Below are 13,483 nucleotides of genomic sequence, written 5' to 3'. Positions count from 1 at the left end.
AGCCCCAGGATGGGGAGGGCTGGAGAGCTGTGTACTCTCTGCCCCTCTCCCTCCGTAGTCGGACCAGAAGGAAGGAGGGCTTTCAGCCAGGCTTGCTCAGGCTGGTGTCTGAGTGTTATTGTCCAGCCCAGGGCTTCTTGCTTAATGAGTTGAACCCAGCTGCTGCGGTGCAGCTGCTGCCCTAGTGAGGGTGAACGAGCAGGAGGCTCTGCCGCACTTCCAGACTCAGGCTACCTGGTCAGATCTGCTCTGCCGGCCCTATAGGGTGATAGCGGCTACCAGAAGGAGGAGGGGATGCGGCCACCAGCCCCCACCCATGCAAGTTATATTTCCGAAAGCTTGTGTATACAGTAAATATTAGGTTGTGGGTTGCCAGGGTTTGTTTATTTATTTGAGGAGGGAGGGTTATAGGTACAACCAGTTTAAAGATGGAAATTTTTAGAGAGCAGGTAGGGATTTAGGGCTGGGTAAGGAAAGCAGGCTTGTCAAAGCAGCTGTTTTGTCATTGACTCCAGAGTCTGGTGAGCCAGGCACTCCCTCGCCAGCATCCCCACCCCCACCTCTCCAGCCCCCCTTATTCCCTGACCCTTCCACCTGCTCCCCTGCCCCAGCACTGTTTCCTCTGCTGACTCTCATCTCTTTTCCTGCTCCTGGGCTTGCCTGTTTTGATGTCCTTGACTCTCCTCTGAGTCTTCCTCTTTCCAAGCCATCTCCCCTGTACTTGACACATTCTCCTGGAAGACACCAGAGTACACAAGCTCAAGTCCCTGAACCTCGTCTTTACTCCCAGACATGTGAGGAAAATGACATAAAGACCCAAATGCCACTTGGCAAGAGATCGGGGGTATGCAGGGGGGCAGATCTGATGCTGTGGAAGCTCAGGGGGTAAGTTTGAGCCCAAATATATCAGTAACTACATTAAATGTAAATGGCCTAAATATTCTAATCAAAATGAGACAAATTGCCATGCATTCTTCTTCTCCCTCCTCCCTTCCCACCAACAGCCTGGAATGTGGAATTTGTGGTTAGAGCTCCAACAGTTATTTTGATCCATTCTTATGAGGGCCACACTCTAGGTATGGTGGAGAAGAAAGTTGGAAAGAATCTGGGTACCTATCAGAACTTTGTAGAGCAGAACTGCCATATATGTCTAAAGTGTTAACATGAGAGGGACATGAATTTCTACTTTATTTAAGCCTGTGTTACTCTGGATCACTGTTACTGGCAGCCAAACCTTATCTTACTGATAATCTTATCTAGTTGTAGGTTCCTTGAGGAAATGACTCCCAAAGTGAGATCAGTATGCTGGAAGTTATCTTGATAAAGGAGAGGCACCAAAATTGTACAGACTGAGAACACAAGACTTATCCAAAGTACTAAAGAAGGCCAGGGGGCTGGAGGACAGAACAGAGGGACATAGGGAGGTGAAGTGAGGCTGGGAAACCTGGCAAGGCCCCGTAGACCCTGCGAAGGAGCAAGATTTTTATTCTGTAGGTGAAGGAAGCCAAGGAATTAATCTAAACAGGGATAAAATTGAGGGAGGAAATGACAGGAACTTTGGAAGGTTTATTTGGGCTGCGTACGAAGAAGAGATGTATGTGTGTGTATGGTGGCGGTGGTGGTGGTGTACAGAATGAACATAGGCCAGTTAGGAGGGTCTTACATGGTCCAGGTGAGACATGGATTATGGTGGCCTGGATTATTATGGTAGGATTCCTGTATATTCAAAAAATATTTATGGAGTATCCAACATGTTACATACTCTTCTATCTGCCTTATTTTCTCATAGCCATTAGATTCTAGTGGGAGGTGGCAGACAATACACAGATAGATAGATGGTGTTTAGGGGTGAGAAATGCTACGAAAAAAAAATAAGGAGACTGGGTGAGGTGGCTTGTACCTGTAATGCCAGCACTTTGGGAGGCTGAGATGCATGGATCACTTTAGCTCAGGAATTTGAGACCAGCCTGGGCATCATGATGAATCCCCATCTCCACAAAAAATTTTTTAAAATTTAGCCAGGTATGGTGGCCTGTGCCTGTAGTCCCAGCTACTCAGGAGCCTGAGGTGGGAGGATCGCTTGAGCCTGGGAGGTGGAGGTTGCAGTGAGCAAAGATCACACCACTGCCCTCCAGCCTGGGTGACAGAGTGAGACCCTGTCTCAAGAAATACACACACACACACACACGAAAGAAAAGAAAGAAAGGGAGAAAGAAAGAAAGAAAGAAAGAAAGAGAGAGAGAGAGAGAGAGAGAGAGAGAGAGAGAGAGAAAGAGAAAGAAAGAAAGAAAGAAAGAAAGAAAGAAAGAAAGAAAGAGAAAGAAAAGAAAAGAAAGACAGAAAGAAAGAAAGAAAAAGAGAAGGCAGGGCAGGGACCGAGGTGCTATTTTATGTAGGTCAGGGAAGATTTCTCAGATAGGATGACATTTCTGATAACAGAATAAAGTGTGGAAGCATCCCAGGGGGTTTCCAGGAAAAGGGAACAGTGTGTGCAGGAGCAAAGAGGCAGTGCAGGGGAAGTGGAATGAGCAAATGGCGGAGTGTTGAGATAAGAGGTCATAGAGCTAATGGGATGAGGGGTGGTGGGGAGGCAGATCACTAGGGCCTTGTGGACTCTAAGCAGAACTTTGGCTTTTACTTTGGATGAGATGTGGCAGCAGAACAATTAGTAGAAGGGATTGAGATTGTAAAGGGATCACCCTGGCTACCATGTAGAGAATAGACTAAAGGCAGGCCAGGACAGAGCAGGAAGACCAGTTAGGGGGCTCCTGCGGTAGTCTAAGTGACAGATGATGGTGGCGGTGGAGAGAAGCAGACAAATATGAGTTGCTTTAGAAGATATAGCTTACAAGACTTATTGATGGATCAGAGAGCAAAGTGTCAGAGACAGTGTCCACGCTTCTGGCTTGTGGAACTGGATGGCTAGGGGTGCCATTCACTGAGACAATGAAGCCAAAGGAGGACCAGGTTCTGGGGAAGATCATGAGCTTTGTGTCAAACATGCTGAGTGTGACATGCCTTTGGGCCATCCAAGAGATGTTGGGGTGGCAGTTGGTCACGTGGGCCTGGAGCTCACAGCCTTTTGCACAATAAAGTGCAATCCATTTGTGAGGCTCCTCCTTCCTGGTGAACTGATAGCCCCGTTTCCCTCCCCAGAATGAGCGAGAGCAGATCATGACCACCAATGTCTGGCTGAAACAGGTAAGTGCCCTGAAGGGCCCTGAGCCCCAGAGATCTTTTCTTTAGGGCTGCCCTTTGGTGGCAGTGGACCTGCAAGTGACAGGGCCTTGCCTGTCTGTCCAGGAATGGACTGATTACCGCCTGACCTGGAACAGCTCCCGCTACGAGGGTGTGAACATCCTGAGGATCCCTGCAAAGCGCATCTGGTTGCCTGACATCGTGCTTTACAACAAGTGAGTGGCAGGGTTGGTGGAGGCCTGGTGACAGCCAGGCCAGGGCAGCAGGCCCAGCCCTAAGAGTCATCCAGGCCTGAGTCCAACCCTGAGCCCCATCTCTGCTTTACCCAGCCTTCCAGGCCATCAAGCTAGAAGAGAAACAGAGGTGAGCAGAGCCAGAGCCCTCAGTTACAGATGGGGAGTTGGAGGCTGAGGGAGGGGAGGGACCTTGTCTGATTCACTGAAGCAGAGCTGGGACCACAGCAGTGTCCTGACCTTGAACCCAGCACCCTTTCTGTGTTCCATACTATCCTTTTGAGCCTCTGTTGCTTTGCCAGTGTTGGTGTTGGTACCACTGACTTACTGTGTGTAAATATCTTAGGCAGGTGGAGGAAGCCAAAGAGACTTTTCCTGAGTCGTGATTACACCAGCAGTAGCTTGAAATGGCTCAAAGTGTGTGGTCTGGGGACAGACAGACCTGAGTTCAAATCTCAGCTGTCCTGCTTACAAGTTTTCTGACCTTGAAGAAGTCACTTAACCTCTTTGGGCTTTGGCTTTCCCATCTGTAGAATGGGGATAATAATAAAACCTGCCTCACTGGACTACTGAGAGGCTTAAATGAGCTATTCCATGGGAAGCCTTAAGAGTGCTTGATGGGCCGGGTGTGGTGGCTCACACCTGTAATCCCAGCACTTTGGGAGGCCGAGGCGGGTGGATCACCTGAGATCAGGAGTTCGAGACCAGCCCGATCAACATGGAGAAACCCCGTCTCTACTAAAAATACAAAATTAGCCGGGCGTGGTGGCGCATGCCTGTAATCCCAGCTACTTGGGAGGCCGAGACAGGAGAACTGCTTGAACCTGGGAGGCAGAGGTTGCAGTGAGCCGAGATTGCACCATTGCACTCAGCCTGGGCAACAGAGCAAGAGTCTGTCTCAAAAAAAAAAAAAAGGGGGGTGCTTTGATGTTAGGGCTCTCTCCACCACATAGTTGCTAACAAAAGCAGACCCCTCCTTTCAGTGAGGGCCTGGGGGATTGGAAGGGTGATTAGTGGGAAATAATCCCAAAGGGCTCTTCAGTGAGTTCTGAGAACAGGCCAGGTTTTGTGTATGGGTTTCACGATGTTCTCCATGCCCTGACCCTGCCCAGCGCCGACGGGACCTATGAGGTGTCTGTCTACACCAACTTGATAGTCCGGTCCAACGGCAGCGTCCTGTGGCTGCCCCCTGCCATCTACAAGAGCGCCTGCAAGATTGAGGTGAAGTACTTTCCCTTCGACCAGCAGAACTGCACCCTCAAGTTCCGCTCCTGGACCTATGACCACACGGAGATAGACATGGTCCTCATGACGCCCACAGCCAGCATGGATGACTTTACTCCCAGTGGTGAGTGGGACATAGTGGCCCTCCCAGGGAGAAGGACAGTGAACCCACAAGACCCCAGCTACGTGGACGTGACTTACGACTTCATCATCAAGCGCAAGCCTCTGTTCTACACCATCAACCTCATCATCCCCTGCGTGCTCACCACCTTGCTGGCCATCCTCGTCTTCTACCTGCCATCCGACTGCGGCGAGAAGATGACACTGTGCATCTCAGTGCTGCTGGCACTGACATTCTTCCTGCTGCTCATCTCCAAGATCGTGCCACCCACCTCCCTCGATGTGCCTCTCATCGGCAAGTACCTCATGTTCACCATGGTGCTGGTCACCTTCTCCATCGTCACCAGCGTCTGTGTGCTCAATGTGCACCACCGCTCGCCCAGCACCCACACCATGGCACCCTGGGTCAAGCGCTGCTTCCTGCACAAGCTGCCTACCTTCCTCTTCATGAAGCGCCCTGGCCCCGACAGCAGCCCGGCCAGAGCCTTCCCGCCCAGCAAGTCATGCGTGACCAAGCCCGAGGCCACCGCCACCTCCACCAGCCCCTCCAACTTCTATGGGAACTCCATGTACTTTGTGAACCCCGCCTCTGCAGCTTCCAAGTCTCCAGCCGGCTCTACCCCGGTGGCTATCCCCAGGGATTTCTGGCTGCGGTCCTCTGGGAGGTTCCGACAGGATGTGCAGGAGGCATTAGAAGGTGTCAGCTTCATCGCCCAGCACATGAAGAATGACGATGAAGACCAGAGTGTAAGTTGCTAACCAGCCCCTGCCCACCTGCCCAACAGAAAGGGCTCAGATAGTAGCACCAGCTTCCCACTTCCTGCAGTTAATTCATAGGAGACAAGGACTCTCAAACTCTGAATAAGGAATCCAAAATTGAAATGAGTTTGTGTTAAATATTATAGCTTCATGCATCCGGGGAGAGGAAGGACGTGCCAGTGATTTAGTTTGTTTGTTTTAGGTGTCCCAGAAGCAAACGCCAAGATGGGGACTTGGGTGCAGGTGGTTTACTTGAGATGTGATCCTGGGAAGCACAGTGAGGAAGGAGGGAAAGTGAGACAGGGAAAGGAGAATGAATGAGCAGGATACTGCCGTGGGTACCCGGGACTCAGTACCCTTGCAGACCCGTGGGAACAAGCCTCAGGATCACCCCCCTGGAAGGAGGCTGAGGTATTTACCCACCAGCCCCCATTCCCTAAAGGATGAGGGTAGCCCCAGGACTTTAACTCTCCTGTGCTTCCAGGTAATGCCAGCCTGCCAGAACAAGCACCCTTGGTGCTGGAGAAAGCCCTGAGGCAGAGGAGAGAGGAAATGCGGGTGCCAGAAATGGAAGGCTGGGAAGTGACTCTGCAGGCTTTAGGGAACACAGGCGGGCTGGGGTACCAAGCGCATCTGCCCTATTCTGTTCAGACTTGCAAAGAAGCCATTCAAGCACTTATAGCTTCCAGGGCTATAGGAACATCAGTAAAAATACTATGATTACCAGGGTAATGAATTAATCGATTGTGCTAACTAGAATTACAGATTTTTATTTTATTTATTTATTTGAGATGGAGTTTTGCTCTTGTCGCCCAGGCTGGAGTGTGGTGGCACAATCTCGGCTCACTGCAACCTCCATCTCCCAGGTTCAAGTGACTCTTCTGCCTCAGCCTCCCAAGTAGCTGGAATTACAGGTGCCTGCCACCACACCTGGCTAATTTTTGTATTTTTAATAGAGACGGGGTTTCACCATGTTGGCCAGGCTGGTCTTGAGCTCCTGACTTCAGGTGATCTGCCCACCTCAGCCTCCCACAGTGCTGGGATTACAGGCTTGAGCCACCGAACCTGACCTAGAATTACGGATTTTTTAAAAAGAGGTTTAATTTACTTTCACAGGATAAAGCAATGAGTGCTGGAGTCTGGGTATTTCACATGACTCCTTTGAATAAATAACACTTCTAAGGACAATGTCATAGTAACAACACAGAATGTGGTGGTGACAAATTTTCACACCCATTTCCATACCAGGAGGGAGAGCAAGTTTCATGCTCTTGTGAATGTTCTCATATTAACACCTTCAGATCAGATTCTTTGGACAGGTTTTTACTATGCAACATGGTGTCTGCCCCTGTGCAGCTGCATGGACAAAAGTGGACGTCTCATTCTTACCGTTTTGAGATTGCTTTCCACTCGCTGCATTCTCAAGGAGAAGCGCTGGCATTCCATTAGTTAGCCCACAGAGAAAAGAGCAGGAACAGCCCCAGAATCACACTGTGCCAAGAAAAGAAGAGAAATGCAAACAAATGGAATATAGGACATGAGATATTCTTCTGGTGTAGTTCTTGGACCAGCAGCACCGGCATCGCCTGCGAGCTTATCGGAAATGCAGAGTCTCAGGCCCCAATCCAGACCTGCTAGCTCCAAACCTGCATTTTAACCAGGTCCCCAGGAGATTCCCAGACCCATTGCAGTTTGAGAAGCACAGCTCTATAGGACTCTCAGATTTCACTTTCTAAAACGTTAATTCGATCACGCTATTACTTAGGTTAAATCATTCTGTAGGTCAGCATCACCTAATTCATTGGTTCCCAATCATTAATGTGCAGCCTGGGGCCCTGCTGGCTAAGTGAGAACCACGTGGGCAACACTGTGGGACCACCCTTTCTGACTGAGCCAGGATCTCTGGCGGAGACATATTGGAGCCTGCATTTTTAACCAATCCCTGGTGGTTCGTGTGCACATTCTAGATTGAGAAGTACTGGTCTCCTGCATCCCTGGCTGAGCCGGCACCCACCCTGAACTCTTCTGAAGACCTCACCACCCCCTTGGCACTCACGTGCCTTCTGCTCTTTCTAGCTCAATTAATTACAAGCCTCTTAAGGGAAGGAGCCAGGCAGGACCAGTTATTATAATCACCAGTGTTCATTAAGCTCCAATCACACATCAGGTGCTCTGCTGGGAGCTGACATACATTACTGCTAACCCTCCCTGGAATCCTGTGAAGTGGCTTTTAGTAGAACCCCCATTTACAATAAGGAGGCTTTCAAAGCGAAGCTCAGAGAGGTTCACTGACTTGGCCAGTGTCAAACAGCTGGCCCAGGCTCTGTACCCAGATCTGCCTGTCATCCTTAAACTTTCTTGCCCTTCCTAGTTTCTTGCCCTGCACTGAGCACATGGCCGGCTTATTGGTTGATTGACTTTCTTATGGATGGTTGGAGAAAAGAGGCTTTCTTCCCTTCTAGAGCATGCCTGCCCCTAAGCCAGCCCACGCCGCTTCTCATCTTCAGTACTTTTACCCACCCTGATTAACTGGTCACTATAAATAGCACAAAAATATTAAAAGGGGGAAACACACACACACACACACACACACACACACACACACACACACACCCCCGCTTGAAATTAGGGCTGTTAAAAAGAAACCCAGGAAAGCCAAGGAGTGCTCTGTGGAGAGAGCTGTGTGTGCCTGCTGAGTCTTGGGGACAGGTGCAGGCGTGCTTGGTTGCAGGTGTCGGGGTTGGCTTGACACAGGATTAGCCTGCACGTTAGGTACACCATTGACAGGGCCTTGACAAACTGGGTCACTGACGTCAGCATGCCCGTTGCTGCCCACATTTCCAACTCCAGAGCCTCTGCTGATCTCCGAAGCCTTCTGATCCAGCCCGTCTCTGCCAGGGAATGAATGCAGTGTGAGCCAGCCAGGCCTAGGGGTGTGAAAGCAGGCATCGGCGAGGGAGGCCAGGACCCTGGGCACACAGGCGTTTCTCTAGGTTCTCCCCCAGTGCAAAGGAGACAGGCCCATCTCTGGTGGCCCCTCTGGAGGCCAGCCAGGTCTCTGCCAACCTCACACCCCGCAGCAGGATCTAAGAAGACCAGAGAGACCTGAATGATGCAGCAGGAGGAGGCTGGGTCTTAATTACAGGAAACAGACACTGCTGTGAACAGACTTGAACAAATTAAACAGCAGGATTTCCAGGTGTTCTGTAAGCCCCGGTTTCTCTGCTCTCACTGAACTAGGTGGGAGCCACCTAGTTCTTTCTTTAGCTAGAACCAGCTCAGGCAGTGAGTTTGGGGTAAAAATGAGAAGTTGGGGCTTTGAGATCCTCAGGCCCTATCTCCTATGTATAACCAGATTTTGTTTTCAAATCATAATATGTAGTATTAACAAGCCCTCACATTCCTAGCTTTTCTGTACAGCCCAAGTTCCCAGTGCCCCTCCAACGCTGTGGGGGACAGGCAGGGGTGGAGGTGGAGAACAGCCAGAGAGGCTCAGAGCTGCCCAGCTGGGAGGCCAGCCTGGGACTCAGAACTTGCCCCCCTAGTATGCAGTTCCACGCCTGTGGCCTGTGGAGTCCCTGGCCAGAGAGTAAGGGCCTGACTCGGGGAAAGGAGGGACCCCAGTACTTGGCACCTGTGACCAACTCCTCTGTCTGCCTGCAGGTCGTTGAGGACTGGAAGTACGTGGCTATGGTGGTGGACCGGCTGTTCCTGTGGGTGTTCATGTTTGTGTGCGTCCTGGGCACTGTGGGGCTCTTCCTACCGCCCCTCTTCCAGACCCATGCAGCTTCTGAGGGGCCCTACGCTGCCCAGCGTGACTGAGGGCCCCCTGGGTTGTGGGGTGAGAGGATGTGAGTGGCCGGGTGGGCACTTTGCTGCTTCTTTCTGGGTTGTGGCTGATGAGGCCCTAAGTAAATATGTGAGCATTGGCCATCAACCCCATCAAACCAGCCACAGCCGTGGAACAGGCAAGGATGGGGGCCTGGGCTGTCCTCTCTGAATGCCTTGGAGGGATCCCAGGAAGCCCCAGTAGGAGGGAGCTTCAGACAGTTCAATTCTGGCCTGTCTTCCTTCCCTGCACCGGGCAATGGGGATAAAGATGACTTCGTAGCAGCACCTACTATGCTTCAGGCATGGTGCCGGCCTGCCTCTCCATCACCATCTCTCTCCACTTCCCCTTGTCCAGTTCCTCACACACTTCTAGATTCTTCCCAGCTCAGAGGCTTGGCATTTGCCATATCATCATCTTTTTTTTTTTCTTTTAAACGGAGTCTTGCTATATCGCCCAGGCTCAAGTGATTCTCCTGCCTCAACCTCCCAAGTAGCTGGGATTACAGAAAGCCGCCACCGTGCCCAGCTAATTTTTGTATTTTTGTTGGCCAGGCTGATTTCGAACTCCTGACCTCAAATGACCCACCTGCCTCGGCCTCCCAAAGTGCTAGGATTACAAGTGTGAGCCACTATGCCTGGCCTTCCCTATCTTCTACCTGAACCTTCTTCCTCTTCCCCCAGGGCTTCCCAAGCTCTTTCCACAGCCACATCAGTCAGGGCATGGCTCCAATCCATTCTTTGCTCCAATGTCACCTCCTCTGAGAGGCCTTCCCTAACCACCCAATCATTCTAAAGCAGCCTCCCTACAGTCACGTTACCCTGCCTCCTTCCTCGAGCACTCCTGTGTACCTGTCGCTCTTATCTGGTGGCATGTATGTCATCCACAGCTCACCCACTAGAGTGTGAGCTCCATGAGAACAGGGACCTGCTCCTTCACATTCGTGGTAGTATCCCCAGGGCCTAGGACAGAGCTTGGCACACAGTAGGTGCTCAATAAATGTTTGTTGAATGAATGAATGGCTCCTACCCCTCCTTCAAGTCCAGATGCCCCTCCTCTGAGCAGCCATCCCTAGTTCCCCCATCTGAAAGGCATGACCTGCTCCTCCATGACTGCGGTGCTGGTCACTTTCCACTTCTCTCTCATGGCTGGGTTCAGGTCTGTCTCCCACACGGATGCTCTGATTCACTCCTCGCACATACTGCCTTTTGCACAGTGCCTGGCATGTAGTAGGCACTCAAAATATTTGTGGAATGGAGGAGGATGTTCTAAAAAATTCTGTTTTAAAAATTATTATACAATAAAATTGACTTTTAAATATATAGTTCTAGGAATTTTAACACATGTATAGATTGGTATAACCACCATCACAATCAGGACCCAGGAAAGATCTGTCACGCAAAACAACTCCGTCCTGCTATTCCTTTAGAGTCCTGACTCCCTGCACTCCTAGCCCCTGGCAACCACATATCTTTTCTCCTTCACTACAGTCGGGTCTTTTCAAGAATGCCATTTAAATGGAATCATACAGTAGTGACCTTTGGAGACTGGCTTCTTTAATTCAGCATAGTGCCTTCGAGATTCAATCAAGTTGGGTTTTTTTCGTATTGCTGAGGAGTGTTCAGTGGTATGATGTTGACGCACATTTAGGCTGTTTCCAGTTTTTGGCAATTATGAATAGAGCTAATATAAAGATTCACATATAGGATTGTGTATGAATAAAAGTTTTCATTTATTTAAACACTCAGGAGGGTGATTGCTAGGTTATATGGTAAGTGTATATTTAACTTTATATGAAACTGTTGAGGCCGGGCATGGTGGCTCACACCTGTAACCCCAACACTTTGGGAGGCCAAGGCGGCAGATCACCTAAGGTCAGGAGTTCAAGACCAGCTTGGCCAATATGGTAAAACCCTGTCTCTACTAAAAATACAAAAATTAGCCAGGTGTGGTAGTGTGTACCTGTAATCCCAGCTACTCGGGAGGTTGAGGCAGGAGAATTGCTTGAACCTGGGAGGCAGAGGTTGCAGTGAGCCGAGATCGTGCCACTGCACTCCAGCCTGGGTGACAGAGCGAGACTCTGTCAAAAAAAAAAAAGAACAAAAGAAAGAGAAAGAAACTGTCAAACTGTTTTCTGGAGTGGCTATACCATTTTGCAATCCCACCAAAGTATGAGAGATCCAGTTGTTCAGCAACTGGATTCCACCCTGGTTTTAATTTGCGTGTCCCTGATGGCTAGTGATTTGAACATCTTCCACGTGCTTTTTTTTTTTTTTTTGTCTTCTGTATACCTCTTTGGTGAAGAGTCTGTTTAACTCTTTTGCTCATTTAAAAAATTGTTCGTTTTCTTACCATTGAGACTTTCTTTAGAAAACAACTTTATTGAGGTATAATTTACATACCATAAAATCCACCCATTTGAAGTACAATTCAAAGAGTTGTCGTAAGCTTACCACCAGAATCCAGTTTTAGAACATCTGCATCACCCCAGTAAGACCCCTCATATGCATCTACACTTAGTGTTGAGTTTTGAGAGTTCCTTATACATTCTGGATACAAGTCCTTTGTTGGATATATAACTTACAGTATTGTCCCAATGGGGGACATTTGCCAAGAGTTGAGAATGCTGTAATTGGAGGCCTGAGAGGTGGGTCCCAATTCTTACATTTTCCATTCCACAAACTGTCTCCTTTTGTTTGGTTTTAATATGGGTAAACAGCACATTCTGGAAATGATAAAGGTGACTCTCCATTTGCTGAATGCCAGGAGGAGAGTTTATGACAGAACTTCCTCCTGCAATAAAAGGATGTCAAAGAAGCCAACATCAAGGTGCCCCCCATCCCTGGTGGGTGGTCAGAGAGGGCAGGAGGCTCCAGGGCACCCTGCCTGGCCAATCAGTGCACATTCTTGGGGTTGCAGATGGTGGCGGGGAAGGGGACAGGTTCTGCAGGGGACTAGGGTGGGAACCCCATTGCCCTCTCAGATTGCTCCATCAGAAGAGCAGATGAGGCTGCACACAGTGGCTCACGCCTGTAATCCCAGCACTTTGGGATGGGAGGTGAACTACCGTCACAGCTGTAGTTCATTTGCTTGATACACCGCTTCCTTTCAACCCCCACATCCTCACCACCTGTTTCTTTGATCACCAATAAATAGCGTGGGCTCCCACAGCTGGGGGCCTTCGTAGCCTCCATACGTTGGCCGCCTGGTCCCGCTTTCTCTCTTGTCTTTTCTCATTCTTTTGACTCCGCCTGACTTTGTCACCCCCATGGCCTGGGGTTGGGTCTGATCACCCCAAAAAATTTTTCATTAAGGAACAATCCAAACGTATTCCAAAGTTAAGAGAACAGTATAACAAACCTCCAGGTACCATCATCCTGCCTCGACAATTATCAACTCATAGCCAATATTGTTTCAACTAACTTCCACCCACCCCTAAGCTATAAGGACTTAAAAAAAAAATACCAGTACTATATCTAAGTTTTTTTGTTTTGTTTTGTTTTGTTTTGAGATGAAGTCTCACTCTGTCACCCAGGCTGGAGTGCAGTGGCGCAATCTCGGCTCACTGCAGGCTCTGCCTCCCGGGTTCACGCCATTCTCCTGCCTCAGCCTCCCGAGTAGCTGGGACTACAGGTGCCTGCCACCACGCCGGGCTAATTTGTAGAGTATTTTTAGTAGAGACGAGGTTTCACCATGTTAGCCAGGATGGTCTCTGACCTCGTGATCCGCCCGCCTTGGCCTCCCAAAGTGCTGGCTGGGATTACAGGCGTGAGCCACTGCTCCCGGCTAAAATATTTAACAATTATTTAATAGCATGAGATACACAAGGCGTCCTTCCCAGGGTGTGTTAGCGTCTCTCCTACGGCGCCCGCCTAGCCCGGTGGTCCCAACCCCCTGCGGGAGCTGCACACGCCCCGGAAACCTGGGACAGAAACTGAGTCCCTCTCCTTCCTGGTGGTGGTGACAGCACCTGCTCAGATCTGGTCGGACGCCGCCGGCCGGAGCACCCAGCCCGGCGGAGAAGGAGCTCGCCCGGCGCTGGGGACTGGGACCTGGAGCCCCTTCCCCTACCGCACGTACGCCCCGCCCCGCGCACGCCCGCCCGCCCGCCCGCGCCTGG

The 13,483-nt window shown here is 50.2% G+C and overlaps 1 protein-coding gene across 12 annotated transcripts in view, besides 1 other annotated feature; it reads left to right on the top strand.

Moving 5' to 3' along the window:
* The window catches only part of CHRNB4 (cholinergic receptor nicotinic beta 4 subunit), a 37,531-nt gene extending 27,153 nt beyond the window's left edge, over positions 1 to 10,378 (top strand). For 7 of the 12 annotated variants that reach the window (XM_011521187.3, XM_011521186.3, XM_011521191.3 and 4 more), the window contains 4 exons: positions 3,157 to 3,201; positions 3,304 to 3,413; positions 4,544 to 5,522; positions 9,198 to 10,378. In XM_011521187.3, coding sequence (XP_011519489.1) covers positions 3,157 to 3,201; positions 3,304 to 3,413; positions 4,544 to 5,522; positions 9,198 to 9,356 — 1,293 coding nt within the window. In that variant the 3' untranslated portion in view covers positions 9,357 to 10,378. The other 5 variants (XM_017021889.3, XM_017021888.2, XM_017021887.2 and 2 more) reach the window with 5 other exon arrangements.
* Positions 4,651 to 5,150: an enhancer, noted in NCBI's record as "H3K4me1 hESC enhancer chr15:78921681-78922180 (GRCh37/hg19 assembly coordinates)". NCBI's record gives its function as "activates a minimal SCP1, AML or CMV promoter by ChIP-STARR-seq in naive H9 embryonic stem cells {active_cell/tissue: H9 hESC(naive)}" and the evidence as "EXISTENCE:reporter gene assay evidence [ECO:0000049][PMID:30033119]".

This window comes from Homo sapiens, chromosome 15, assembly GCF_000001405.40.
Source record: "Homo sapiens chromosome 15, GRCh38.p14 Primary Assembly".
Taxonomy (NCBI): domain Eukaryota; kingdom Metazoa; phylum Chordata; class Mammalia; order Primates; family Hominidae; genus Homo; species Homo sapiens.
This window is presented reverse-complemented; position numbering and strand designations above follow the sequence as displayed.